General features: G+C 39.9%; 1 protein-coding gene and 1 long non-coding RNA gene across 98 annotated transcripts in view, besides 5 other annotated features; one reads left to right on the forward strand and one right to left on the reverse strand.

Annotated features, from left to right (window-relative positions):
* CAPRIN2 (caprin family member 2) overlaps positions 1-1,608 on the reverse strand; it is a 45,399-nt gene extending 43,791 nt beyond the window's left edge. For 29 of the 97 annotated variants that reach the window (NM_001385543.1, NM_001385538.1, NM_001385541.1 and 26 more), the window contains exon 1: positions 1-1,608. Coding sequence is in view for 58 of the 97 variants with exons in the window: in XM_047429428.1 (XP_047285384.1) it covers positions 1-420 (420 nt within the window). In the remaining 39 variants the exon portion in view is untranslated. The other 68 variants (NR_169638.1, NR_169639.1, NR_169640.1 and 65 more) reach the window with 7 other exon arrangements.
* Positions 982-1,061: an enhancer, noted in NCBI's record as "active region_6159". NCBI's record gives its function as "activates an Ori minimal core promoter by ATAC-STARR-seq in GM12878 lymphoblastoid cells {active_cell/tissue: GM12878}" and the evidence as "EXISTENCE:reporter gene assay evidence [ECO:0000049][PMID:35858748]".
* Positions 1,065-1,234: an enhancer, noted in NCBI's record as "experimental_28171 CRE fragment used in MPRA reporter constructs". NCBI's record gives its function as "activates a minimal promoter by MPRAs in K562 erythroleukemia cells, with activity observed for both the introgressed and non-introgressed 12:30907427 variant alleles {active_cell/tissue: K562}" and the evidence as "EXISTENCE:reporter gene assay evidence [ECO:0000049][PMID:34662402]".
* Positions 1,065-1,841: a biological region, named in NCBI's record as "ATAC-STARR-seq lymphoblastoid silent region 4322".
* Positions 1,162-1,841: a silencer, noted in NCBI's record as "silent region_4322". NCBI's record gives its function as "represses an Ori minimal core promoter by ATAC-STARR-seq in GM12878 lymphoblastoid cells {active_cell/tissue: GM12878}" and the evidence as "EXISTENCE:reporter gene assay evidence [ECO:0000049][PMID:35858748]".
* On the forward strand, positions 1,731-27,396 carry LOC645485 (uncharacterized). The gene is made up of 2 exons (NR_135046.1): positions 1,731-1,928; positions 26,043-27,396. It is a non-coding gene; the product is annotated as an uncharacterized LOC645485 (long non-coding RNA).
* Positions 2,933-3,136: a silencer, noted in NCBI's record as "fragment chr12:30909210-30909413 (GRCh37/hg19 assembly coordinates)". NCBI's record gives its function as "represses an EF-1alpha promoter that drives an FKBP-Casp9 reporter gene in an ReSE screen in phorbol 12-myristate 13-acetate-treated (for megakaryocytic differentiation) K562 erythroleukemia cells {active_cell/tissue: K562(+PMA)}" and the evidence as "EXISTENCE:reporter gene assay evidence [ECO:0000049][PMID:32094911]".
* Positions 27,397-27,521: the final 125 nt, after the last annotated feature.

Consider the following 27,521-nt stretch of genomic DNA (forward strand, 5'->3'; position numbering starts at 1 on the left):
CTTCTTTTTCTCGATGTTTCTAATTTTGTGTTTAAGGCATATGAGTCCATTTTCAATATAGGTCTCATACGCTTGGGAAGGAGATGCAGCAGAACTCAGAGTAGACTGCAGGGGGCTCAAGGCCCGCTGGCTTTCCCCATGCTGACTGTGGTTCACTTGGGGCTTGGCTGACTTCATATTCCCCTCTCTTTCCTCCTCTGAATGGCCTGAAGGTGACTGGTAACCAAAAGGGGATGAAAAGAGTTGCACCATTGAAACAGATGAGGCTGAAGGAGGTGGGGGAAAGTTAAGTATAAAATTAGGACTAGAGGGACACAGCCAGGCAATAACTTCCCTGGAAAGTCTAGACCACTCCCTTAAACTCTTTTCCACAGAAGTGAGCTCGAAACCCAATGATGCTTGAGATACTTGTACTTCCATCCTACTTTTAAAGTAATTAGTGCCGCTAGCCAATAAGGATAGCCTTTACATAGGCAAAATCTCCCAATACGGAGGATGTTTCCAGAAATTCGATTTTCCACATAGGGAGGAAGAACTGCAACGGCTTCAGAGCTCCTTTCTTCTCATGAGGGCAGATCACATTCTAAATAATTCCCATGGCCACGTGATGACACCAAAAGAATAAGCTTTCCACACCGGGACCTAAGGCTGAGCCACTCAAACCTCTTTACATGATCCCTCACCACCAGCCCTAACCTCAATCCTGAACGTTTGGAAGAAAATCCAAACTCACAACATTCTTTTATAGCTCTAAGTGAACCAGCAGCTTCTTGAACAAGAATGCTAACTTCCCCGATTGCTCTGGGGCCTACAAGGCAATCCATCACTACTGGACATTTGCAGACAGGTACTCTCTCAACCTGCAGGAACCCCGCGTTTATTCTCAGTTGTTTGGTTTAGACTAGCCCAAAACCGCTTACACCCAACCAGTTTAAGAGCTCATTCTAGCGAGCCCTTCCCGTGCCCTAATCAGTGGCCCTTGCGCACTTACGTATCCGTCTCTCGACCTCCAAGCACCCGAGGTATCCCTTTCTCCCCCCTTAGGAGCATCCCCAAACCAAGGACAGAACAGGCCCCATGCACGCCAGCGCGCACCCCCTCAAGTCTCCGGGGGAGCCTGAGCGAAGAGCACCTCTCCCGAGCGGCCACGGAGAGCCCTGCAGGCACCGACCCCCACCCTTCCCACAGCCGCCCCGGGTACGCAGAAGCCGCTTCTGCAAGGCCCCGGGGGAGGCTGACCTGCGGAAAACGCACCGACCGCGGCCCTCGGGAGCCCCGCCCCGCCCCGGGGATGCCAAGCCGCCCCTCCACCTCGCAGCGGCGCCGGCCGCCCAGACCTGCCCACCCTCGCCGGGTCAGCCGCCTCCCTCCGCCGCGCCGACCGAGGCCGCCGCAGCCCGACTTCACCTCCCCAGGCAGCCGAGGCCGCCGCTGCCGCAGCCCGGGCCCGCCTTCCAAAGCCTGGGGGAGGCAGGAGCGCTGCGGAGGTGGACCGGCGCCACCCCGCACTCGCGTCTCCTCCTCCTGTCTCCTCCCTCTCCCCTCCCGGTCCTCGCCCGCGGCCTCTGCGGCGCCAGAGACCCAGCCGACTCAGCCGCTCGCGCCCAGGCCCGCCCACCGCGCCGCGCGTGGCTTTTGTAGGCCGCGCCCCGCCCCGGCCCGCTCCGCCCTCGGCCGCCCCGCCACCGCCTCCTTCCGGTGCTCCTTCCCGGCTGCAGCTGGCCGCCAGCGCTTGTCGGGTGTTAGTTCCGGGCCCAGCTTGGGCTGGTGGTAGGTCGGGAGAGGGCGCGGTCTCCCAGCCTTTGCGCAGATTGCGGGGCACCAGGTGGGGCCGAGGCGACGCCGAACGCCGGCAGGCCGGAAACCGCGCAGCCCCGCTGGACCTCGCTGATTGCCGGCGGCACCGGTGGTTTCGCGACCTTGAACAGGTGACTCCAATAGCTCCAGGAGGGCAGCGAGCCCTTCGCGGAACTACCAGATAAGCCATGCTTGAGGCTGTCGTAGCCTAGTGGGTAGTCGTGAAATGCAGATGCGCCTTTGCCCCTCAGATAGCATCTTTCATAGTAGGATGGGGAAAAAACACCGTTTCCTTACCGGGGAATCAGCCTGTAAGAGCAGAATGCCCCAAATCAGCATCGCCATAAAAACGGAGTAGGTGACTTCGCAACCTGCAATAATAGGATTGAGTTTATTCAAGCCGTATTATTTGTTCATGTGACACACATTAATTGACTGGCACGCAGAGAAAGCTGTAAAAAATCTTTGTAAGGTTACATAAAATTAAGAGAAAAGTCTGGAAATATGTAAAAGTTTATTGAGGAAAGGAAGGTGTTTCTGATACCAAATAAGAAACACACACACACACTCAGCAATACTTTGCCCCAACATGTGTTTACTTATTACACCAAGTGGAGTTTTTTAGGTCCTGATTGTCCCTGACGCTCTGATAAAAAATATTGAGACTAGCAAAAGAACAGAAAATTCAGAAGAAGAATCAAGGAAACAAAGGTCTAGTTTTAAAAGCCTTGGTCAACTTCACACAAATTAATTTTAACATTACTTAATACATTTTTTTGGCATCTATTATCCGTGTTCTTTTCGGTCCCTGGTGACATAATGTACCCTAATGTTGCATTTTAACTTTGAATCTCTGAATCCCATATGTGTTCTTCAGGGTCAGAGAAATACTAGATTTTCCCTTTTTCTCATTGTTTATAAACAGAGAAACGCAGAAGATGCTGAACATGAGGAGAGGAAGGCTATGCCTTCACCTTTGGTAACACAAAAAACAGTGGCCATAAGAAAAAATGTGAAGGACACACTGTTGGATCAATGAGTTGACACAAAGTTACAGCACAGCCTGAGTTGTAGTCCGAGCTAATGATGAACCTAAAAATGGTATTTCAGTCAGATTAATCATGAAATGTTTGCCCCCTGCCGGCGCAGTGGCTCAAGCCTGTGATCCCAGCACTTTGGGAGGCCGAGGCGGGGTGGATCACCTGAGGTCGGGAGTTCGAGGCCAGGCTGGCCAGCGTGGTGAATATCCATCTCTACTAAAAATACAAAAATTAGCCGAGCATGGCGGCATGTGCCTGTAATCATGGCTACTCAGAGGCTAAGGCAGGAGAATCGCTTGAAACCCGGAGACGGACGCTGCAGTGAGCCGAGATTGTGCCGCTGCACTCCAGCCTGGGTGACAGAGCAAGACTCTATCTCAAAAAAAGAAAGAAAGAAAGAAATGTTTGCCTTCTAATCGGTCAGGCAAAAAGGAGGCCGTAAATTTTAAATTTTCTACTAAATGGATATTCTTCTAAATGAATAAATCCATACAGATTTACTTCTCAGGAAGGATTATAAAAATGCATCACGAAAGAATGCAAAAGCAAAAATAATTGAATTTCAAGTCCAGTAGGGTACAGTCTGTATACGTATGGCGTGACATTTGTAGGAGAACATACCACAGTAGATACTCTTGAAGCAATGTCTTCTGAACAAGTTAAAAAGATGATTCAGATAAAAGCTTTTCTGCTAGAGGAGATCTTTAAAGTCAGTAAGTCTGGCTTACTTTGAAAGCACATGTCCCCAAAACTTTTATTTGTCAGGAGTTTAGTTTATTTTACCCTCTCCCACTCCCTATTTTCTGTAAGACCGTGACTTTTCTTGCCAACTGTGAGGCAGTATCTGTGGCATGCCACCTCCAAGCTTAGCAAGGAATAACTATATTGGAAATATGATAAAAAGTGTTGTCTCGAATCATTGATAGAAGAATATATTCATTTATTCATTCAACAGATGTTTACTTAGCACTTGCTATGTAGTAGGTGATAAGGCATAATGGTGACTGAGACAATATAGCTTCTGCCTTCGTGGAGCTAAGTGGGAATTCAGTAAAAGCTATAGATGTAAATGGCAAAAACAACCAAATCAAAAAACCCGAAGACAAAAATACTAAAGACTTTAATAATGGATGGTTTGATTTCTACAAAAACAGCCAGACTTTACGTCCTTTGAAAATGTGAAGGTGTTAAATATGCACTGTCTGACAAATGTTCAATTGCTGCAGGGATGGTTATGCTGTAGTCACTTAAAATTAATATAGCTTCATATTGTTGAAACTGGAAAGATAAATCCACCAAAGGATGTGAAACCTGGTAGCGTGTTAGTAGAGATATGAGAAATTATCTTAGACACATGGTTGTGGGTGATAGAAGTCTGTTTCTTATTGGCTCTACGAGACTTTGTGGAGAATTGCCACCAAGAGACAGAGAGAGAGGGAGAAAGTCACCAAGAAAAATAATAAGAAGGCTAAGAAAGAAAAAGACAGGAACAATAACATAAGGTTGTTAAAAAGATAGTACTTTTGGCCGGGTGTGGTGGCTTAACGCCTGTAATCCCAGCACTTTGGGAAACCAAGGCAGGCAGATCACCTGAAATCAGGAGTTCAAGACCAGCTTGGCCAACATGGCGAAACCCCATCTGTACTAAAAATACAAAAATCAGCCGGGCATGGTGGTGCGCCCCTGTAATCGCAGCTACTTGGGACACTAAGACAGAAGAATCGCTTGAACCCAGGAGGAGAAGGTTGCAGTGAGCCAAGATTGCGCCACTGCACTCCAGCCTGGATGACAAGAGCGAAACTCTGTCTCAAAAAAAAAAAAAAAAAAAAAATATATATATATATATACAGTACTTTCACATACTTGCTGATTCATAGAGTGTCTATTCAAATATTTGAGAAACTTTTTATGAAAGTAAAGAACTGAGAAATATAGACCTCAGGTAGGAAAAAAAACTTGCCATAATAGTTTAGGGTATTTTTAGAGAAATATCTAGTTTGTAAGATTAATAATTTGGTAGGCTTATTTTTTCATAAAATTATACATTCCTATTGGTTTTGTTGATACTGTTTTTCTGATATTGAAGTTAATGCATTAATAGTGCTCCACCATTAAGTACCTTTGAAATAAAAGTTCTTTAGAGGAGGAGTAATCAGTGTAGAACTTATGAATGTGTGTCATTAAATCAATAATATCAAGCCCATAAAAATATGATTTCTGTCCAACTTTGAAGTATTATAAAGTGTCAACAGCATGGGCTTTGGAGCCAGACACACATGGATTGGATTCTTGTTCCTGCCCCTTACTAGCTGAATGATCTTGGGCAAGTGACTGAAATTCTGTGGGCTTCAGTTTTTTCAGCTGTAAAACTGCTGATAATAAAACAAACATAATATTACCTATTAACAGCATTGTTAAGGATTTCATTTCGTTTCTGTAAAAGCATCTGACTAGAGACTAGGCCATGAAAACATATCCTCCACTGAGATACCTGTATTTGCTGCTTTTGCCATAATACGAAGCCCAGCATTTCTCCTAGTAGCCAAGGAGAACTAGAGAACTGTGGAATTTATGGCTAAGGAATCCCACCCCCCCGCCCTTATTTGAAAGACAAGGTATATAAAGCTGGTGGACATTTGTGAGTTTTCCAAGACCTAAAGAATCTAGGTCTTCTGCCCTCTAATGCAACATGCACTCCAGGCCGCTTCATCCCTTTCCCTTGCTGCTTCCATGGAGTAAATAAAGTATAGAAATAGGCAATTAAACTTGAAGATTGAAACCAAAAAGAATAAGCAATTCAGTGTTACAGTGTCTTCAAAGGAATTCATTCAGAAAGACATTTTAAAATATTCATATCTTTTGATCCAGTAGCCTTTATTTTAGGAATCTCCCCTATCAAAATAATCAGAGATGCAAACAATCACTTATTTATGAAAATGCTAGGCACCACATTTTTTTAAGTGGTGGGAAATTGTAAACAACAACCTAGACACTCAACAATAGAGAAATGGCTAAATAATGTGACTCTAAGCCATGAATTTTAATTCAAGTAGTACAAATCATCTTTTCAAAGAATATTCAATGACATGATATTATATGAAGTGAAAAAAGGGCAGGATAAAACACGGTATAAAACATTTAGTAAGATTGTGACTTTGTAAAATATTTCATTTTAAATATGCATGGAAAAGGCTGAAAGATGTTTTCACTTTATTTTTATAGCATATGTTTAGTTTTTATACCAAACCAGAAAAAGTATTTTCCCAAAAACATGAAAGCTGCCCCCTCCACCGATTACCATTATTAACTTTTTGCTTATATTCTTCTAGACTTATTTCCAAGAAAATATCTGTATAATTTTTTACAAAAATGGGAATGTACTAAACATTTTGCAATTCTGCTATTTTGACTTAAAATATAATGAGCATCTTTTTATTAAAATAAACTTGGTGTGGTGGCTCACGCCTGTAATCCCAGCACTTTGGGAGGCTGAAGCGCGCGGATCATGACATCAGGAGATCGAGACCATCCTGGCCAACAGGTGAAACCCCGTCTCTACTAAAAATACAAAAAATTAGCCGAGTGTGGTGGCGGGTACCTGCAGTCCCAGCTACTTGGGAGGCTGAGGCAGGAGAATGGCGTGAACCCGGGAGGGAGAGCTTGCAGTGAGCCGAGATCATGCCACTGCACTCCAGCCTGGGGGACAGAGCAAGACTCTGTCTCTAAATAAATAAATAAATTAATTAATTAATTAATTAATTAAATAAACTTTAACTTCGGATTAGCTTTGGGAGGTAGAATTTCATATTATTTTAATTATATTCTTTTTACTTTCTGTGAACAAGTTAGAACTAACATTATTTAACAGAAATGTTAGTTATCCAAATAGGAATCACAGCAATATAATACACCAGTAACTATTTGAATAAATGGTAATCTACATAATTATTCTTTTTGTACAAGGACAAGAATCCTAAATGAAACACAAAAAAGTGACTCTAGAAAGAAAGCCTAAAGTGGTACAAGTTATTTTGTGATTTGAAAAAAATACTTCTTATTCACCATCACTTTGTTAGCCTAGAATTTTTCACATAAACGATTTACTCATTTTTGATAAACAGTATGTTTTTAAAAAGTTCTGTTTCTTAGATATGGCATCAAAAGCACAAGCAACAAAAGAAAACAGATAAGTTGGACTTCATCAGAATTGAAAACTTTTGTGCTTCTAAGGATGCTATCAAGAAAGTGAAAAGACAGCCCACAAAGTTGGAGAAAATATTTGTAAATTATATGTAAGGTACTTGTATGAAAATATAAAGAACTCTCTTAGAACTCATTAATAAAAAGACAGCCCAATTTAAAAATGTGCAAAGAATATGATAGGCATTTCTCCAAAGAAGAGATAAAAATGACCAATAGGTACATGGAAAGATGCTCAACATCAGTACTCATCAGGGGAATGTAAATCAAAACCACAATGAGATATCATTTCACACCTACATAGGTGGTCATAATAAAAAAAGATAATAACAAGTGTTGACGAGGATGTGGAAAAATTGGTTGGAATCCTCATACATTGCTGGTGGGAGTGTAAAATGATGTAGCTGCTTTGGAAGACAGTCTGGCGGTTCTTCAGTTAAATATACTGTTACCATATGACCCAGCAATTCCATTCCTAGGTATACTCCCAAGAGAAATGAAAACACATATGCACACAAAAGCTTGAACACACATTTTCATAGCAGCATTATTCAAATCACTGAAAAGTAGAAACAACCAGGCCAGGCGTGCTGGCTCATGCCTGTAATCCCAGCACTTTGGGAGGCCGAGGCGGGTGGATCACGAGGTCAGTAGTTCAAGACCAGCCTGGCCAAGATGCTGAAACCCTGTCTCTACTAAAAAAAAAAAAAATACAAAAATATTAGCCAGGCTTGGTGGCGGGTGCCTGTAATCCCAGCCACTCAGGAGGCTGAGGCAGAGAATTGCTTGAACCCGGGAGGCGGAGGTTGCAGTGAGCCAAGATCGCACTACTGCACTCCAGCCTGGGCGACAGAGCAAGACTCATCTAAAAATAAATAAATAAATAAAGTAGAAACAACCAAAATGTCCCATCTACTAATAAATGCTTAAATAAAATGTGGTATATCTGTACAATGGAATATTATTCAGCCATTAAAAGGAATGAAGTACTGATACAGTATGTACGAAATTTAGAAACATTATACTAAGTGATGCCAGGCGCAGTGGCTCACATCTGTAATCCCAGCATTTTGGGAGGCCGAGGCAGGTAGATCACTTGAGGTCAGGACTTGGAGACCAGCCTGGCCAATGTGGTGAAACCTCATCTCTACTAAAAATACAAAAATTAGCCAGGCATGGTGGTGGGCGCCTGTAATCTCAGCTATGGGGGAGGCTGAGGCAGGAGAATCACTTGAACCTTGGAAGTGGAGGTTGCAGTGAACCAGGATCGTGCCACTGCACTCCAGCGTGGGCAACTCCATCTCAAAAATAAAATAAAATAAAATAAAATTATATTCCATCTCAAAAAAAAAAGCCAGCACAAAAGGCCACATACTATATTATTCCATTTATATGAAATGTCCAGAATAGGCAATCTATAGAGACAGAACATGGATAACTGGTTGCCTAGCACTTGGGGGAGTGTTGCAGGGAAATGGAGAGTGACTGCTAATGCGTACAGGACAGGGTTGCATTGTGGGGCGATGAAAATGTTGTAAAGTTGATATAATGATTGCACAATTCTGTGAGTATACTAAAAACCATTAAATTGTATACTTTAAATGGGTGAATTGTATGGTGGTGTGGGTTGATTTGTGTCCACTAAAAAGATATGTTAAAGTCCTACCCCTGTACCTTGAATATCACCTTATTTAGAAATGGGATATTTGCAGATGTGATCAAGTTAAGATGAGGCCATACTGGATTAGGATGGGCACCTAAATCCAAGGACTGGTGTCCTCATGAGAAGAGAGAGATTTGGGGTCGGGCACGGTGGCTCCTGTCTGTAATCCCAGCACTTTGGGAGGCCGAGGCGGGTGGATCACGAGGCCAGGAGATCGAGACCATCCTGACTAATACGGTGAAACCCCATTTCTACTAAAAATACAAAAAATTAGCCGGGCATGGTGGCAGGCGCCTGTAGTCCCAGCTACTCTGGAGGCTGAGGCAGGAGAATGGCGTGAACCCGGGAGGTGGAGGTTGCAGTGAGCCGAGATCGCGCACTACTGCACTCCAGCCTGGGTGACAGAGGGAGACTCTGTCTCAAAAAAAAAAAAAAAAAAAAGAGAGATTTGAAGACACAGAGGAGACACAGGGAAGAAGGCCATGTGATGACAGAGACAGAGTAAAGCAATGGAGTAAAAGCCAAAGAACACCAAGGAGTGCTGACAACCACCAGAACATAGAAAGGAGGGAAAGGATTCTTCCCCAGAGCCTTCAGGAGCATGCCCTGCCGACATCTTGATTTTGGATGTCCAGTCTCCAGGACTGTGAGAAAATAAATATTTTCAATAAAATAAAACAATATTCTGTATATTCTGTAAATGTAAAATAAAATTCTGTAAATATTCGATAAAACAATATTCAATAAAACAAATTCTGTTGTTTTAATGCACCCAGTTTGTGGTAATTTGTAGCCATATAAAACTAATATATATGGTATGATACGGTATGTGAATTATATACTAATAAAGCTTTATTTTTAAGGGCTCTGGCTTTATTTTTGTTTTAAGTGGAAATGTGTATACTCATGGCAGAGAGCGTTGGAAGTCCAGAAGGCAAAAGGTGAAAAGGAGGCTCTATTCATGCAGATTTCTGCGGGGACAGAAGCAGGAGTGAGGGGAAGGCATAGGCCAGAGCCCTTACTGGGGTTCTGCAGCAAATGCAAGGCAGAGCAGGGGAAACAGTTTAGGATTGGCTAGTTTGAATAATTCCAATAGGCTTTGGGCTATAGGGGTGATATGTAGTTGCCTGATACCTGGCCCTGTGATGATTTAGGGTAGGGCAAACAGTGGCTTGGTATGTGAGAGTTAGATAAGAAGGTATGTGGAGCCACAACCTTGGTTCAGTTGGTCTGCACATGAGTTCCCGGCAAGCCGACTTACAGGACAAAAGTAAATATGGTTTACCATATTTACTTATGGTTTGACCCTGCGATAAGTAGATACCAAATAGACATACAGAATCTAAGAAAATGCAGTTAAAACAGGTAGCCTGATACCATTTACCTTCAGATTGAGTCCCCTACCTACTCAAGTACATTCCCTGACAAGTTAATAGCTGAATACTATTCCCTGATTGGCGCTTTGGCCCTGGGAACTAAACTTTGGTTGCTTCTCTATCCAGTCATTGTCTCTCCCTTTAGGCTCCCTGAAACTCTGCATCCCACCCAACTGCCTGTCCATCCCAACAGGTCTGATCACATATTCAGTGAAAGATTAAAACAAAATTTAGCAGGTCCCAACTGCCCCCAAGATGCAATGTTCTTTGTAAATTATTTACATTTTATTTTTGAGTAGGTAATGGAATACAGTTGCTATACGGAAGGAAAAGTATCCCCTCACTCTTGTCCTCAGTTCCCTTCCTCTGAGTTAACAAGTGTTAACTATCTTCGGTGGATCTTTCCATAGATTTTATGCACATGTAACAAGTATAGTCTCCCACCACCATCACCATTTTTTAATCCAAATGTTCACTTACAAACACCGCTACATCTTGCTTTTTTCTCCTAACAGTTTATCTTTGCAATCAACCCCATACCATTATACAAGGAGCTTCCTCATTCTTTCAAACAAGCACAGTATTGCATTTAAATGTATCATAAATTACTTAATGGGCACAATGTAAGTTGTTCAGGAAATGAATACCCTGAAAGCCCTGACTTGATCTCTAGGCAATCTATGCATGTAACAAAATTGTACTTGGAACTCATAAATGTATACAAAAAAATAAAGGTACCATAATTTAACCAGTCCTCTAGTGAAAAATATTAAGGATATTTCCAACCTTTTGCCTTACAATTATGCAATTAATAACCTTATTCATACATCATTTTGCACATTTATGAATATATCTGTAGGAGAAAACCTTCAAAGTAGTATTACTGGATCAATTATGCCTTTGATAGGTGTTTCCAAATTGATTTTCATAGAGGTAGCCACATGTAAACTCCCATCAGCAACATATGCAACCTGTTTATCCTCCCCATCATTAACACAGCATGTGTAGCATTTGCTGCCAGCCCAGACCTGTCAGTGTGTTCCTGTGACTTCCGACTGTCAATATCTGCTCAGTCTCTGTGCCTCAGAGTCCCATCCCCATCTGAACAAGGCGTCTTATGGGATTATAGGAAGGTCAAAAGCACAGAAAATGAACACCACTACCTTCAACCCCCCACCATACACACAAGTCACAAGGAGCATTCATCCCTGACTTTCCAGCTCCATCATCCCTCTAGTGGGATAATTCTGAGGTTTGTATGTTACATTACCTCCTAGGGTTTTTCCACATGGTAGCTGGTAAATAAAGTACCTTCACTGGCTGCCTTACCTTTTCTATGGCATTTCCCTACTTCTCTTTCCAGTCTCCCCTCCCAGCTGCCCCATCTGAATTGCCCTCCTCGGATTCTTTTTGTTTGTAATTAGTATCAGGAAGCAAAAGTTGGCGTCAGCAACGTTTACCTTCCAAAGATAATTGAGCTCCTTATTTGATCTGAGTGTTCTACATCTGTTTCATCTTCATCATAATGTTGATATTTTTCGGGCTATTGGAAACTAGTCTCTTTAAAGCCATGCAACATTAATTAAAGCTTTAAAGCAGATGTCTGTGCCAGAAAAAAATTCAGCAAATTATTTACTTTTAGAATAAGAATATTTCCCTTAATCTCAGCAGGAATCCTGAGAGCATGCATATTATTCATGTAGGTTGGCACTGAAATTATCTTGGGGCCATGGAGAAGAACGGAAAATAAACATGTTGATTTTCATAGGAAATTTTAAAAGATATATACTTTTAAAGGCTTCATAATTTTTTTTTTTCAAAATGCCTAACAACTAGTAAGTAAAACAACATGGGGGAAAAAAGACTAAATGGAACTTCACTTAAATGCTGAATGTTTCACTATTGAGGCAAATTATTTTTTTCTAGGAAAGTCACCTTCAGATGCAGGTAAGTAAACTACTAGCTAATAAGTCAGCTTCTTAGAGCTTTAGTTTTATTTCCTCTGAAATAAGATTATAATTCATGGGAGTGTTTTGATGATTAAATGAGCTAATAGATGTAAAGTACTTAGCACATTGCCTGTCATATCATACTCAGTAATTGGTCCTTATTCTTACAAAAACAGTTTCTGCTCATGAGCCATTATCTACTCTAAAAGTAGCCAAGGAAGAATATATGCCATGAAAGGATTAGGACAGCCTAGGGAAAGGAAGTAGGGCACTATATAAACAATTCATAAGACAAAAACCCCACAACTCAGGACAGCGCAAATCAAGAAGACAGCATAGTCTCTTTTCCCATGCTGGGTAGCTTGGGCTACCCAGACTTCTATAAATATGTAGAGGGGGCATCACAGGAGCTTAATGCAAATGCTGGAGTAGGCATGTTTTCTCTAAGATCATTCCTTTTGCTACCCCTACCTGACACTATCACTGTTAATGTTACCAATTCTAAAAACATTATTTAGAGTGGCAGCAACAATGCATCTTCTTCAGAGCAGCCTGTGCAATGGTTATTTGTTTAAAGCAAAATTTGAAGGTAAGAGGTAAAGGGCAGGCAATGAGAGTTAGTATAGAGAGGATGTACTGGATATATCATGCATCTATAATGGCATAGTAGAAAGAGAACGGGACTAAGAACCAGGCAGGCAGAGTTCTAATTCTAGCTCTTCTAATGATAGTTTGTGAACTTGGGCAAACTACTAAATTTGTCTGTTAACAGTCCCCCAATAAATTGTCAGCAAGTGCTATCAACTCTACCTTGAAAGCATATCCCAATTCTGTCCACTTCTCTCTATATACACTTCCATTGAAGCCAGGCCACTGTTTGCTCTCTACAGCAACAGCCTCCTATGAATTTCTTGTTTCCCTGCTGACCCCACTACAATTTCTCTTAGACACTGAAGCAGAGGGATAGTTAAGAATTTAAAATATGATATAATCTCCTGCTCAGGTCTCCTAATGATTCTCTACCTCACTTAGAAAAAACAAATTCATACTATAGTACTTAAGATGGTGTTCATGATATAAACCCTCCCGCAACCTCCACCCCTGTTTCCTCATTGTGGCTGACAGTCCCTAATGTGGTTCCCATGATTCCCACCTCCAGGTATTCATCCCAGTGTAATTCCCTCCCCTTGAGTGGGCAGGACCTGGACATGTTTTTAACCAACAAAATACAGCCAGGATGACGGGTCATCACCTCTGTTATAACCTTACACAAGACTGTAACCTCTCTTGCTGGGAAACTCTCTCTCCCTTGCTGATGTTGAGGAAGCAAGCAGCCATAATGGGAAGGCCCCCACAGCAAGGAACTGAAGGCAGCTTCTAGCCAACAGCCAGCAAGAGGTTGAGGCCCTACAGCCAAGAGCCTGCAAAAAATTGAATTCTGCCAACAACTACTTGAGCTTGGAAGCAGATTCACAGATGAGCCTCCCATGAGAACCCTACTTTGGCCAATACCCTGATTGCAGCTTTGCAGAGGACCCAGCTAAACCGTGCCAGGCTGCTACATTTGTGGTAATATTGTTACATAACAATAGATAACGAATACACTTCTCTTCCATTACACTCCTCATCTCTACACTGGACCTTCTTGCTGCTCTCCCCATAAGTCAAGGCTATTCCCTCCTCAGGGCCATTGCACTTACCGTGTCCTCTGCTTAGGAGGCTTTTAACCCAGCTCTTTACCTAGCTGACCTTTTCTTGTCATTCAAGATCTTAGCTCTAATGTTTATTCTTATCTAACAAATCTAAATAGCCATTCTGACACTAGCACATCACAATGTTTTCGTTCTCTGCATAGGACTTTTTATTATGTGTAAAAAATGTCTTTATTCTGTTTCTTTACACTAGAAAGTGAGCTATTTGAGAGCAAGGACCTTGTCTATCTTGTTTCCCACTATATGCCTAGAAACTAAAATAGTAGCTGGTACTATAGTAACATTCAACAAATACTTGTTGATTAACATTGAATGAATATTGGGCAGTATTTAAGCTCCTTCCCGTGCTCAGATAGTCTCAGGTCCATAGTCTCAGGTCACATATGTCCCAAGGGTCATATGCAAAGATGTACATTGTAACAATATTTGTGGTACAGTGAATAGATAATCTTGGTGTCCATCACTGGAAGAGTAGATTAGCAATAGATCAGATTTGCACATTGCAACATGGCTGAACTTAAAGCATAATGCCCAAGACTAAGATGTATATGATGCACTTTTTTGTAAACAAAAATACACATGCATACAAAGATATCCGTTTTGTAAGCATGATATAAAGAAACAAGCAAAAAAACAAAAACACATTAAAAAGACTAGAATGTTTGCCTATAGGAGAGGAAGGAGATGCAAGTGGGAAATGGGGTTAATAGGTAATAAATAAAACAAGAGAAGGACCTTGCTCAGACTAATGATGATAATGTACTAGGAATCGAGCTGTGTGATTAATTCAATCTTCTTCATCAGAGAGCCAAAATTAAGGCAAAGCAACATTGTGTGATTCAGAGATCATAGGCAATATCCAAAGGTGTCACCAGCTTAAAGATTAAAAAATGTTGGATTAAATATTGGAAGGTGACCTGCACTGGGAGTCTCACATCATTCTTCACTCCTACCCTTCCCTCGCTCTCCTTATGGAACCCAGGGTCTGGGAGCTTCCAAATTTTCTCTCAGTTTAGTGTCCACCCATCTTAGGTTTCCATCATGATTAGACTTAAGCTTAATTTTCTTGACACTGCTGCTTCACAGCTATGCTCTTGCCATGCTCTTGCAGTAGGATGTACACAATGTATGGTTATCTCTCTTTTGTGATGTTAGACCTATTAAGGACCAGTGCCACCAGTCATTATGTCAATGCCTCTCTAGTCATTTTGCTTATCTGAGGCTAATTTTCTAGTACATTCCTCAGGAAGAGTTCATGGGAGCGATATTCCCTGAGATCCTAAATGTCCATAACAATTGATCTGTAGGCCTTATACTTGAAAGTCAACTAAGCACAATATATAAATTCTTGGCTCACATTCTTTCTGCTAACACATATCTTTCAGACTTTTATGTTACAGCTTATACCTTTCTACATTGGAATGTTCTTCCCACTCGTCACCTGTCAAACTTTATTCATCCACTTATACCCCGTTTCAGCTTTCTACTACTATGAAACCTTTCCTATCTCCTCCTGACAGGGTTAAGTTCTACTTTCAAAAGTCTTCTTATGCAGCTTTATATATTTCTCTATGGTATTACTTAATACATCTTATATAGGTTTTTTTTAAAGAGACAGGGTCTCACTATGTTTCCAGGCTGGACTCACACTCCTGGCTCAAGCAATCCTTCTAAGTAGCTAGGACTACAAGTGCATGACACTGAACCTGGCTTGCTTACATATGGCTTTTAAAAAACGTCTCATTTTTTCTTCATGAATGCAATAGCTTCTTTTATCTCTCTGAGACCATAAATCGTAGGTCCTAACTTTTCTGATTCCTTTATTGTCTCAGTTTCCTCCACATTCTTTCCTGTTTGTTTTATCTCTATTTCTTTATGCTGGAAACTTTCCTCAAGTGTCTGATGATTCTTACCTATTCATTTATATCTAAAAGTGAGGCACTGAAACCTAAAAACAAAACCTTTGTGGAGAAGTACAATGTATTGAATTATAGTCTTATTGAAGAATGATTCGGTAGGGCCCCAGCTATTCCCTAGGGAAAACCTCCCCAGAAATGTGTCAGCATCTGTAAGTCTTTTTTCTAGGCATGGCCATTTTCCTCAGGAGAAATTCTCCTTCCAGTTTCATACTTTGGTGGGTGTTATAGATGCCAACATTCTAAGCCACGGTAAGGAAGGAGGCTTTAGAGTCTTACTTTGAGATATATCAATTTCCACTTATTTCCCCTACTTTCTGCAGAGCTTCCTGCCTTTCACCTATGCCTGAGTTTGAGTTCCTCAATTCAATACCTTTCCATTTTCTGCTGGGCTGGGTTACTTGTCTGCCTATGGTATGGAAAGGGATATAAGGGTCTAACTGCTTCATTCACAGATATTCAATCCATCCTTCTGTTTTCAGCCTCACTTCTTACCCCTACCTTCAGAGATGACTAATACTACCTATTCCTGAGATTTTCCAGGGTTTTAAGGCAGGGTTTTTCTTTTTGGCTTCCCTCTCTGCAGGCAGTATTGTTTCAGCTTTCTCTGGTCTGCTAGATCAGTTAGCAATTGCAAACTGATTTGGAGGCTTCCAAAATTTAATTGGCATCTCTCAGCTGTTCTTCTACCCTCTCCTGTTGTCTCCCTTCATGTTCTTTCTCTTAGATTTATGCCTTTTAAAATCCCTTTAGTGTCATCTAGGTGAAAATTCAGGAAGGAACAGAAGGAAATGCAAGTCACCAATCTTTTATGTTTAGCAAGAAAACTGTGCTTTTAACTTCTCTGTTATGCTGTCTCTATGTATAGTTTGCATGGCTATCCCCCACATAGATAATGATTTTCTTGAAGGCAGAGACTTGAAAATAAAAAAATTCCGACACTCCTGGGAAAAGATTAAACGTGCTGCAGTTATGGCAACAAGTAACCACCAGAACCAGTTCCAAACTGGTTTAATGGGCTAGGCATGGTGGCTCACATGTGTAATCCCAGCATTTTGGGAGACTGAAGTTGGAGGTTCACTTGAGCTCAGGGGTTCATGGATGCAGTGAGCTGTAATTGCACACTGTACTTTAGCCTGGGCAACACAGTGAGACCCTGTCTCAAAAAAAAACAAAAAGTAATAAAATAAAATAATCTGGTCTGGTGGATTGATGGCAACTTACCTAAGCGAACACACTTGTGAAATCTAGCCAGAAACAGCCCCATGCTTTTGAAAGCCAGCCAATCCACAACAATCTCATCTAAACAACCAAGTTTCCCTAGCTGGCAACAACGAACCCACTCCCACCTCTGAAATTCTGCCAATCCCTCAACTTCATGCTCCACAAACTTCTATAGACAATCAGCTCCTTGCTTTACTGGAGGAGACTGTGCTTCAGGCACCATTAGATTCAGCTTTTTGTTTCAGATATTGAGTGGTAGTCTTTTTCTTTGTCAGATCTCAGCAATCACCACAGTATCTGTTGCTTGGAAGGTACTCAGTGGGAAGATAGGAGAAGGTGCAGAGGGCAACTGTAAATGTGTCATAAGTGAAGGGGCCTGGGCTGTTTGCCCTACCCAGCCCTGTGGCAAGGCTAAACCAGGTATAAATTTTGCTCAACATTCACTCTTCAATTCCAATTCATAAGCATCTCAGGTATAAGAAATGTAAACATCTGCATCCAGAAGCAATTATGTTTGCCTGTCACCTTTCATTCAGTATTGTTAACTGTATATAATTGTGAAAGGAAAATATCTTGGAACTCCAAAATCACTAAGCTAAAAGGATAATTCAAGCTGAGAATTGCTTAGGGCAAACTTGCCTCTCATTCTATTCAAAGTCATCCCTCTGCTCACTAAGATAAATGTGTGTCTGATTGAGTCCTTTGGAGAGGCTAATCAAAAACTCAAAAGAATGCAGCCACTTGTCTCCCACCTACCTGTGACCTGGAAACCCCCTCCCTGCTTCAAGATGCCCTGCTTTTACTTCGAGTTGTCCTGCCTTTCCAGACCGAACTAATGTTCATCTTACATATGTTGATTGAGGTCTCATATCTCTCTAAACTGTACAAAACCAAGTTGTGCTCTGACCACCTTGGGCATATGTCATCAGGAACTCCTGAGGCTGTGTTATGGGCATGCGTCTTCAACCTTGGCAAAATGAACTTTCTAAATTAACTGAGACCTGTCTCAAATTTTGGGGGTTCACATTTGGTAACCACAGAGGGATTCTGAGTGGAGATGCCCCTGACCTTTGACAAATCTCCTACTGGTGCTTGCTACCAGCATGAGCTAACTTTATGGCTCAAACCAACAGGACAATTTGCTGAGGTGTGAGAGCACCCCCTCCAGAGAATCCCTGATCTCCCAAAATTTGGCCAAGATCTAATCTAGATCTAAAGTTTATTTTGCCTTACAAGTCCCTGTTTTTTTGTTTTTGTTTTTGTTTTTGTTTTTGTTTTTTTTGGAGTTCTACTTTCTTCCAACAAGGAAGGCAAGTTTTCCTGCTTCCATGATGATCCAAGGCAGGTAACTCCTTTGTGGAGTTTGAGCTCGCTTCTAAAAGGGAAAATGAGGTCTTTCTCCTGCTTCTAGGATGGTAGAGAGCAGTCTACAGCCTGAGACCTATCCCTAGGTAAGTAACTGAGTTGGGGTATGTCTTGGCTAAAGTTAAGATTAACAACCAGCTAGTCTTAATTTCTTCTTACCATTAGAGTGCTCAGTAATCATGTAAGTGGCATGATCGTTTGTTTTGCTTAACTGTTTTTTGTTGTTGTTGTTTGTTTCTGTTTTTGTTGTTGTTTCAGTCTTTTTCCCATTGGGTTTGACCAACTCTATCCAACTTGATCAAATCTGAAGGAAAGTTCCAAATTATGAGGAACAAGACCTCTAAAGTGGCTAAAACCTCCCCCACCCCCCACCCCCTCCCCCCCCCCCACACACAAGGTGGTATGGTAGAAGGAGAAAAATGGCCAACAAAAGGAAAAAAAAGATTTTTGATTTTGAGTACTTAAGGGGCTTTATTTACATAACAAGGCCACCTTTTTGCTAGCCAGACCAAAGTGAAAGAGCAATGGCTGTCATTCTATGCTGCAGTTCGATAGCTAAGGTCCTGCTTTTATATTTTTTTTCACCACCACAGCCTGGGTTTGGTTCCTAAATCAAGCCCTTTCTGGTTTGTTACTTGGTACTTTTGAAATAGCAGCAAGTTTTCCTAGCTAAAATATGGTAATGAGATTTAAAAGGATTTTTTTTAAAAGCAGTTCAATGGTTAAAAGTCAGCTTAATTAAAAGGCTAACATCCGATATGTGTGTGTATGTGTATGTGTGCATACGTGCATGTTTGTATTTAAAAGGCCTTCATTTTTTGTTGTTGTTGTTGTTTGTTGTTCTCTCCTAGGACCTTGTCTTTTTTTTGAGCAAGAGGTTTTTTCTTCTCAGTTGACTGAATTATGTTTTCACCTGATTTTTTTACTAAAATAGGTATTGGGTTTTTAAGAAAGAGTGTAGTTTAGACACTTAGTCTGAACCGTCTTTGTTTAAAAAACAAATTTTTTTGAGATTGAGTCTCACTCTATTGCCCAGGCTGAAGTGCAATGGCGCGATCTTGGCTCACTGCATCCTTCACCTCCTGGGTTCAAGTGATTTGCCTGACTCAGCCTCCCAATTAGCTGAGATTACAGGCGTGTGCTGCCACACCCAGATAATTTTGTATTTTTAGTACAGACATGGTTTCACCATATTGACCAGGCTGGTCTCGAACTCCTGACCTTAAGTGATCCACACACCTCAGCCTCCCAAAGTACTGGGATTACAGGCATGAGCTACAACACCTGGCCAAAAACATTTTTTAAGTGCAGTGTAAAAGAATCACATGGTCTAGCCTCATAATAATTCTTTCTTTTTGGAGACCCAGAATTCAGTGTAGGCCCTGCCTAGAGCTCACAGATCCAGTTAAAAAAAATAGGTAGTCCCTATCTAAATAAAATTGGTCTCCTTATACAATCCAATGATAAATTTCTATAGTTTTATGTTCAGTTGGCAATTAAATCTGTTTTAATTTCTCTCTACCTCACCAAACTTTCTTTGTGTACATTATGATGTAAATTGTGCTATCTGACATACACCTGAGGTGTTTCTGTTAATATGCCAATTTAAGGCTATTTAGCTGACAACTGCCTAGGGTTGTGAAACAGGTTATCAAGAATCTGAAAGTCTAAGATAGGAAAAAAAAAGGTTTTTATGAATCTGTAAGATGTACTTCTATCAGCATGCCTAATACGTCTATGTATTTATATGTTGTGTACACAATGTTTCACCACTGAAAACATATAAAAGAGCTCTAATTAATTGGCTCAAAGAAAAATAAAATTGCTTAAATCAAATACTTTATCAGGGAAAAAGAAAAGACTAGTCAAATGCTTTTTTAAGTTTATGTAACTTAAGTAAAATCTTTAATAAATAAGCTAGCTTTAAAATTATTGGTAAAGTAGTATTAGAAATGTCTTAAGAATTGCCAGCATACATTTTTGTTTGCATTTATTAATCAAGCAATTTCATACTTATCCCTAGCAAATACTATAAGGTGTGTGTCAAAATTGGCACAGGGGTTACAGAACTATAAACCCAGCCCAAAACAGAATTATCTTCACTTGTGTAATGTTTAATAAATAAGACATTGATATGGGTTTAATGAAGATAGCTGCATCTTGAATTTAGCAAGATTACCACAACTTCTAATACTGTGGCTTTAGGGAGTCTAGTCCACAGACAGTAAGGAGGTTTGTTTTGGAAAAGGACTGTTATCATCTTTGTTTCAAAGCTAAACTATAAACGAAGTTCCTCTCAAAGTTAGTTCCACCTGTGCCCAGGAATGAACAAGGACAGCTTGGAGGTTAAGAGCAAGATGGAGTCAGTTGGGTCAAATAGTTTTTGACTGTCTCAGTTATTATTTTGCAATGGCAGCTTCATAACTTTAAATCATGACTATCACAGTTTTCATAAATAACCTAGGTAAACAAAATAATTAGGTAAAGGTAATGATATAAATACTTGTAGATAAACTGGTCATGATTTAGAATATAAAGATATATCAAATTAAATAATTGTTATTTCATTACTTGTGTATTTTCCAACAAATATATATTGTAGGAAAACATTCTTGCTTAAAAAAAAAAAGTGTGTCCTTTGTCTAAAAAAGGTGAACAAGACCATGCATGGTGGCTCATGCAGCAATTTGGGAGTCCAAGGCATGTGGATCACCTGAGGTCAGGAGTTTGAGACCAGCCTGACCAACATGGTAAAACCTTGTCTCTACTAAAAATACAAAAATCAACTGGGCATGGTTGTGCATGCCTGTAATCCCAGCTACTTGGGAGGCTTAGGCAGGAGAATTGCTTGAACCCAGGAGGCAGAGATTGCAGTGAGCTGAGATCCTGCCATTGCACTCCAGCCTGGGCAACAAGAGTGAAATTCCATCTCAAAAAAAAATAAAAATGAACAAGCTTTGTCTAATTCAAAGCTTATTTAAAGGTTATATATAAAACAAGGTAAACAGATCTGAGAAATAAGAGAAATACAAAGAAAGTTATAGAAATAAAGAGGTTTTTTTGGTAAGAAAGCTTAAAGACAAATAATTTTATATGAGAAAGAATATTGAATGGTAAATTTAGACCTAGAATACAATGACTGGTTGTTTAAGAAAGATGGATGTTCAGGACAAACCAGAAAGTTCAAGCATGTCATGAATGGCCTTTGTAAGTCACAATAAAATGATTTATTAAAAAAAAACTTTTATATGGTCAATTGTCTATAATTAAAGTAAAACTATAATGGGCTTTCTAGAGATTGGGTATGATGTAAAAAGGAAACCACTTATACACTAAATAATTGGTTAGAACAATGAAATTTTCTTAAGGGATTTATTTACTTTAATAAATTATAAAAAATTTTAATTTTTTTAAGCCAAAGTTCAACTTTTATTGCATTTCTCCATTTTCTTCCCCCTTTTAAAGGGTATGAAATAGTAATGCTCTCCTTCAACTCATTTTCAGCTCATATATATATATTTTTTTTCCTGGACTTCTATTGTAGTGGCCTGATAATGTTTTCTTAAAGGTCTAAAGGAAATGTTTTCTTCCATCATAATATTCTGTGCACTGCTGAAGATCTTTTCTTTTGATTTTTGGTAACTGGCCTAACAGATTTACACGTTATCACAACAATTACTATGCTATTATTATAAAGCATTGGTTTGCTTAGGGAAAAAACTGAGATTAAATTAAAAAAAAAAATAAGGTTATTACATCTGTGTATCTCTCTGTATGCACTTTTAAAGGCATTGAGTTAGAGGGCTTTGACTTCTGGGTCTAAAAAGGACACCAAGTCCTGCTAAATTGTAAACACTGACAGCAATTAAAGCTCCATTTTTAGGCCCCATAGAAGATACCAATCAAAATAAACTGCATGTCAGAGACACAGGGCTAGAAGTTAAAGCTATTTCAATTCAAGGCCCAGGAACTCTCATGGAAGAGGTGGGCATGTGGGATTGTAAGGGCTGATTTTGAAAAAAAAAAAAAAATTAGTTCATATTCTCTATAAATTAATCATTAATGTTAAAGGCACACTGAAGCAAGACCAGCATATGGGCCCCCTGTGTCAAATTAACAAGGTTTTCTTGAAGCATTAACTGACTCCTTAATAAAAGTTATATGGGTTATCAAAAGCTTATGGAAGTTATATCTTACGGTCTACATTAAAATTTTATAGATTGTTTATAACATTTTGAAAAACAAATTTGGCTGGGCGTGGTGGCTTACGCCTGTAATCCCAGCTATTTGGGAGGCTAAGGCATGAGAATCTCTTGAGCCCGGGAGGCGGAGGTTGCAGTGAGCCAAGATTGTGCCACTGCACTCCAGCCTGGGCAAAAGAGCAAGACTCCATCTTTTAAAAAAAAAAAAAAAAAAAAAAAAAGGAAAGCAAATTTAATTGGCTTCATCCTGTTTTTATTAGGGCTTATTATTTGGAAAATTAACTCTCTCACAGAATGAAGGTTTTCACCTTTTTAAAAAAATCTTTGAGTTACCACTTTGGTTAAATGAATGACTTATTTTACATTGACCTGTGATCCTATTTTGTGATATCAAGTTTTAAACCTTTGATATTTCACAGGCTTTCCAAAATCAAATTATAAATTATTCTTTTTCTGACATAATTAATTCTTTAAGATATTAAGTTCCCTAAAGTCCAAAAATGACATAATTTGGCTTATTTGTTACAAAAATTACACAGGAAGCATTGTCAAATGTGAAATGGTGTTTGGTTTTCTTTGGGCTGTGTTTGTATAAATATGTTACTAGTATGTGTTCCAAAATTATGGGAAACTCCTACAATTCTAATATAACTTAGTGTATATTATCAGTAATAATTATAATTGTTATGTTAAATCACTGTGTGCCACAGAGGTAACAAATTTCCCTCTCAATTGTGTCTTTGACTATGGCTGCCCTAAAACGTTTTCTCATCCACGGACAATTGTTGTCTTGTTTTGGTCCTCTTTAGAAGGTGATTTTATAATCAGCTATAAAACTCTAACAGGTGCTCTCGAATGCAGGTTTCTGATAACTTTGGAGAATGTGCCATTAGGGTAAAGGAAAAACTTTCAGGACTCATGGAGAGCTAAAATGTTCATGAATATCAAGCAGAACAGGAATTTTTTTGACTTTTTGCTTAAGACATTGCTGATCCTTTGTTTTGTTTTTCAGAGTCTTGAAACTTTTCTTTTGAACTATTGACAACTTTTAACAATTTAGTATACCCCTATAAACAAAATTTGGAGCATATTTGTTTCTCTCTACCTGATTTCTCCAGAATTTGGAAACTACTGATGAGTATTCTTAACGGCAATACAGTTATTTGCATAAGTGCAATAAGAATCTGTTTTCATTTGTAACAGGACACAATTGGAAAAACTCATTATTTTACCAAGGCTTTGACTGGAATGGTATGCTTTCCTTTAAGGAATCAAACTTAAAGTATGGAGCCAATAAAGCCCTTGGGAAAACTGGCCCCATATTTTGTGTACACAGTTCCTATACACAGTTTTTGACCTGTGACAAGTAAAGAATGTCACTTACTGAAAGTCCCAGGAGTCCCAGGTTTATACTGGAACCTCAAAAGGAGAGGATCATCCAACTCATAGATATTTGATGGCACAAATCCATGGCAGGGCTCGGCTTTTGAAAAGTTTTATCTGAGATTCCTCCTATGGAACATAGTTCCATCAAACCCCATTTAAAAGGTTATGTAAAAAATAATTATTTTTGCTATACTGTATACAAATTAGGCCAACTATAATAAAGCAAACCAGTCCTACCATGATTTGTCTTTAGCAAAAATGGGAAGCTAGAGAGAGAAAAATTATGTTTCAAAAACTTAATTCAAAAACATAATTCAAAAATTATGTTCAAAAACACCTGTTGTTAAATTCTAGACTTGCCTAATGTTTTTCAATTTTTATATTTTCTACAGTTTGGAAAGAATTCTAATTTTTCTTGGCTACAAGTCTTCAAAATAATGTTTTCAGATTTTGTCCTTCTTTTCTCCCCATTTTTCATAATTTGGAGTCACTGAAAATTAAGCTGTGCTTTCATAACACCCTGTGAACTGAAACTAGACAACTTAAACTTCAGAAGAAAATAACAGCAACCTATTTATATACATAAGCCACTTACATACCTGCCTACTGATATATAGACTTCAGAGTAATGTGGCCTATATCAATTTTCCAGGATTGTTCTTTTGTTTATTGTTGTTTTTTTCTTCCTCCCTGTCCTCCTATTTTCTCTTCATAGGATATGAGACTTCACAACCTTCTAAAAATGAGCTTTCCTCATAACACCAGACCTACCTGGTCAGGAATAAACCATCCTAGCCATGAGATATCAGACAAAACCTGGAACCAGGAACTCATTTTCTTTTAAAATGCTTTCTCCAAAAGATTTTAAAAAAGAAAAGGGGGGAAATGTAAAAGGAAAATATGTTGGAACCCCAAAATCACTAAGCTAAAGGGAAAATTCAAGCTGGGAACTGCTTAGGGCAAACCTGCCTCCCATTCTATTCAAAGTCATCCCTCTGCTCACTGAGATAAATGCGTATCTGATTGCCTCCTTTGGAAAGGCTAATCAGAAACTCAAAAGAATGCAACTGTTGGTCTCTCACCTACCTGTGCCCTGAAGCCCCCTCCCCGCTTCAAGTTGTCCCACTTTTACTTCGAGTTGTCCTGCCTTTCCAGACCGAACCAAAGTTCATTTTACATATGTTGATTGATGTTTCTTATCTCCCTAAAATGTATAAAACCAAGTTGTGCTCTGACCACCTTGGGCACATGTCGTCAGGAACCCCTGTGGCTGTGTCACAGGTGTAGGTCCGCAACCTTCACAAAATGAACTTTCTAAATTAACTGAGACCTGTCTCAAATGTTCGGGGTTCATATAATCTAAATAATGACCAGGACTGGCTAATGGATGGGTTTTTTTTTGTTTGTTTTGTTTTGTTTTATTACACTGTAAAGCAAAAAGTATCTGAGACAAGTCTCAATCAATTTAGAAAGCTTATTTTGCCAATGTTAAAGACACACCTGTGACACAGCCTCAGGAGGTCCTGATGACATGTGCCCAAGATGGTTGGGGTACAGCTTGCTTTCATACATTTTAGGGAGACATAAGGCATCAATCAATACATGCATGATTTACATTGGTTCAATCTGGAAGGGTAAGACAACTCAAAGGGGAACAGGCTTCCAGTTCATAGGCAGATTTAAACATACTCTGATTGGCAATTGGTTGAAAGAGTTATTATCAGTAGAAAGATGTCTGGGTTACAATAAGGGGTTGTGGAGACCAAGGTTTTATCATGCAGGTGAAGCCTCCAAATAGCAGGCTTTAGAAGGAATAGACTTTAAATATTTCTTCTTAGAATTACAGTCTATGTTGATGTTAATGCTGGGGGGTATAATGAGGCATGCCAACCCCCATTCCTATCTTGGCCTGAACCAGTTTTTCAGGTTAAATTTTAGAGCGCCCTGACAGAGGAGGGCATACATTCAGATGGTTGCCAGGGCCTTCAAATTTTATTTTCGGTTTACAACTCTATATGGTCAACTGTTTTCTTTATCCCAGTTCAAAGAAGGGAAGGAGAATCTCCCATAAACAGATATCACATTTAGAGTAGCAAAAGCAGTTCTAACAGATATAGCAAAAAATATCTCCAGGCAACACTTAACTACTAGGATAAGATGTGTACTTTAGAACCTAACTCTTTTCTGAGAATCTGAATTCATTTGCCTCTAGGACACCTAACATGATGCAGCAGAATTTCTTCTAGGAATCTAAAGGGACCATATGGAGCAAGTTATATTCAAGAAAAACAGGACTGTGAGGCTTAGAGTACCAGAGAGGAGGCAACAACTGCAAGTACAAAAAGTCCCATTTGGCAAAAGAAATATGAAGAGCACAGTGTCCTGCACCAGGCTCCATTACAGCCTGGAGTAAGGCGAAGTTGTTGGGGAAATCAGACAGCAGGGAGAATGGGGCCACTGCAGCCCCTCTGACCTTCTTTCCCTGGACTTTCTCAACATACTTTCCTGCTCTGCTGTCATTGCAGCTGCAGGTACTCACTCCAGGGTGGCAGCCAGGGGCTCAGGTGGAGCTGGGCCCCACACCTCTGCACATTCCCGACCTGAAAACCACTCCAGGCTCCCAGCCTTGACTATCGGTTCCCTGAGGGTCTTGGACGCTGCCCCAGCACAGGGATGTCCCTTCTGCCTGGGAACCACCAGAGGCAAGCTCCAAGGATGTAGTTTGGCACCTTCTTACAATTAATTGGTTTTGGACGACTTGGTAATTTAGAAACTGCTGAGGTGAACCTCCAATAGAGGAAGTCTGGCATGGTTCTGTGCCTGACTGTGCCCCGATTATGCCTCAAAATGCCTCTTAAGCCCCTGATGATGGGTGTTAGTTTCCTTACAAAGGTGAACATGCTTCTCAGAAGATGCTCCTGCCACCTTCTGCATCAATAAGCGAAGTTTGGAGGACAAAGTACAGGTTACTTTTGGAACAATAGGATCCTCTCTCCCTCTGGCGTTTTGACAGATTTTCAGAAGTAGAAGGGAAAGACCTAAGACACTATCCAAACCCATGGGATCTATCACTACCTATAGGGTGTGACATGTCACACTAGCTGAGCCACCTGGCCTTAGCTGCATGTCTGCCAAACAGCCACTTGAAAGCTACCTGTTAGAAAGCAATGTGCTTGATACTAGATACTGCCTGTTAAATGTGTTACATGAATTCTAAAAAAGATAAATAAATAAATCTTATTTTTGGTAAATATTGTCAGTCTCTAAGACAGAGTATACTTTAAATCTTATACTATAATTATAAATTTGTCTATTTCTCCTTATAGTTCCACCTGTATTTGATTTATGTATATTGAAAATCTGTGGTTGGTTCCACATAAGATCTTAACTGTTACGTCTTTTTGGATAAATGTTTCTTTTATCATTACAAAATGTTTTTCTTTATCTCTTTTAGTCTTTTTAATCTGTAGTACTACCTCTGTTATTACATCTGTAGTACTACGTCTGTTATCACATCTGTTATTATTTGCTTGATATTTATTTTTTAAAATATATCTTTTATCTCACCTTTGTGCATCATTTGAAAATGGCTTAATATTTTCCTTTTTAGGCCTATTTTTAATTGTTTATAATAAACTATGAGGAAGAAAATTTTAAAGCACCAAAATGTTGGGGCACCAAGAGAAAGAAC

Source organism: Homo sapiens, chromosome 12, assembly GCF_000001405.40.
Source record: "Homo sapiens chromosome 12, GRCh38.p14 Primary Assembly".
Taxonomy (NCBI): domain Eukaryota; kingdom Metazoa; phylum Chordata; class Mammalia; order Primates; family Hominidae; genus Homo; species Homo sapiens.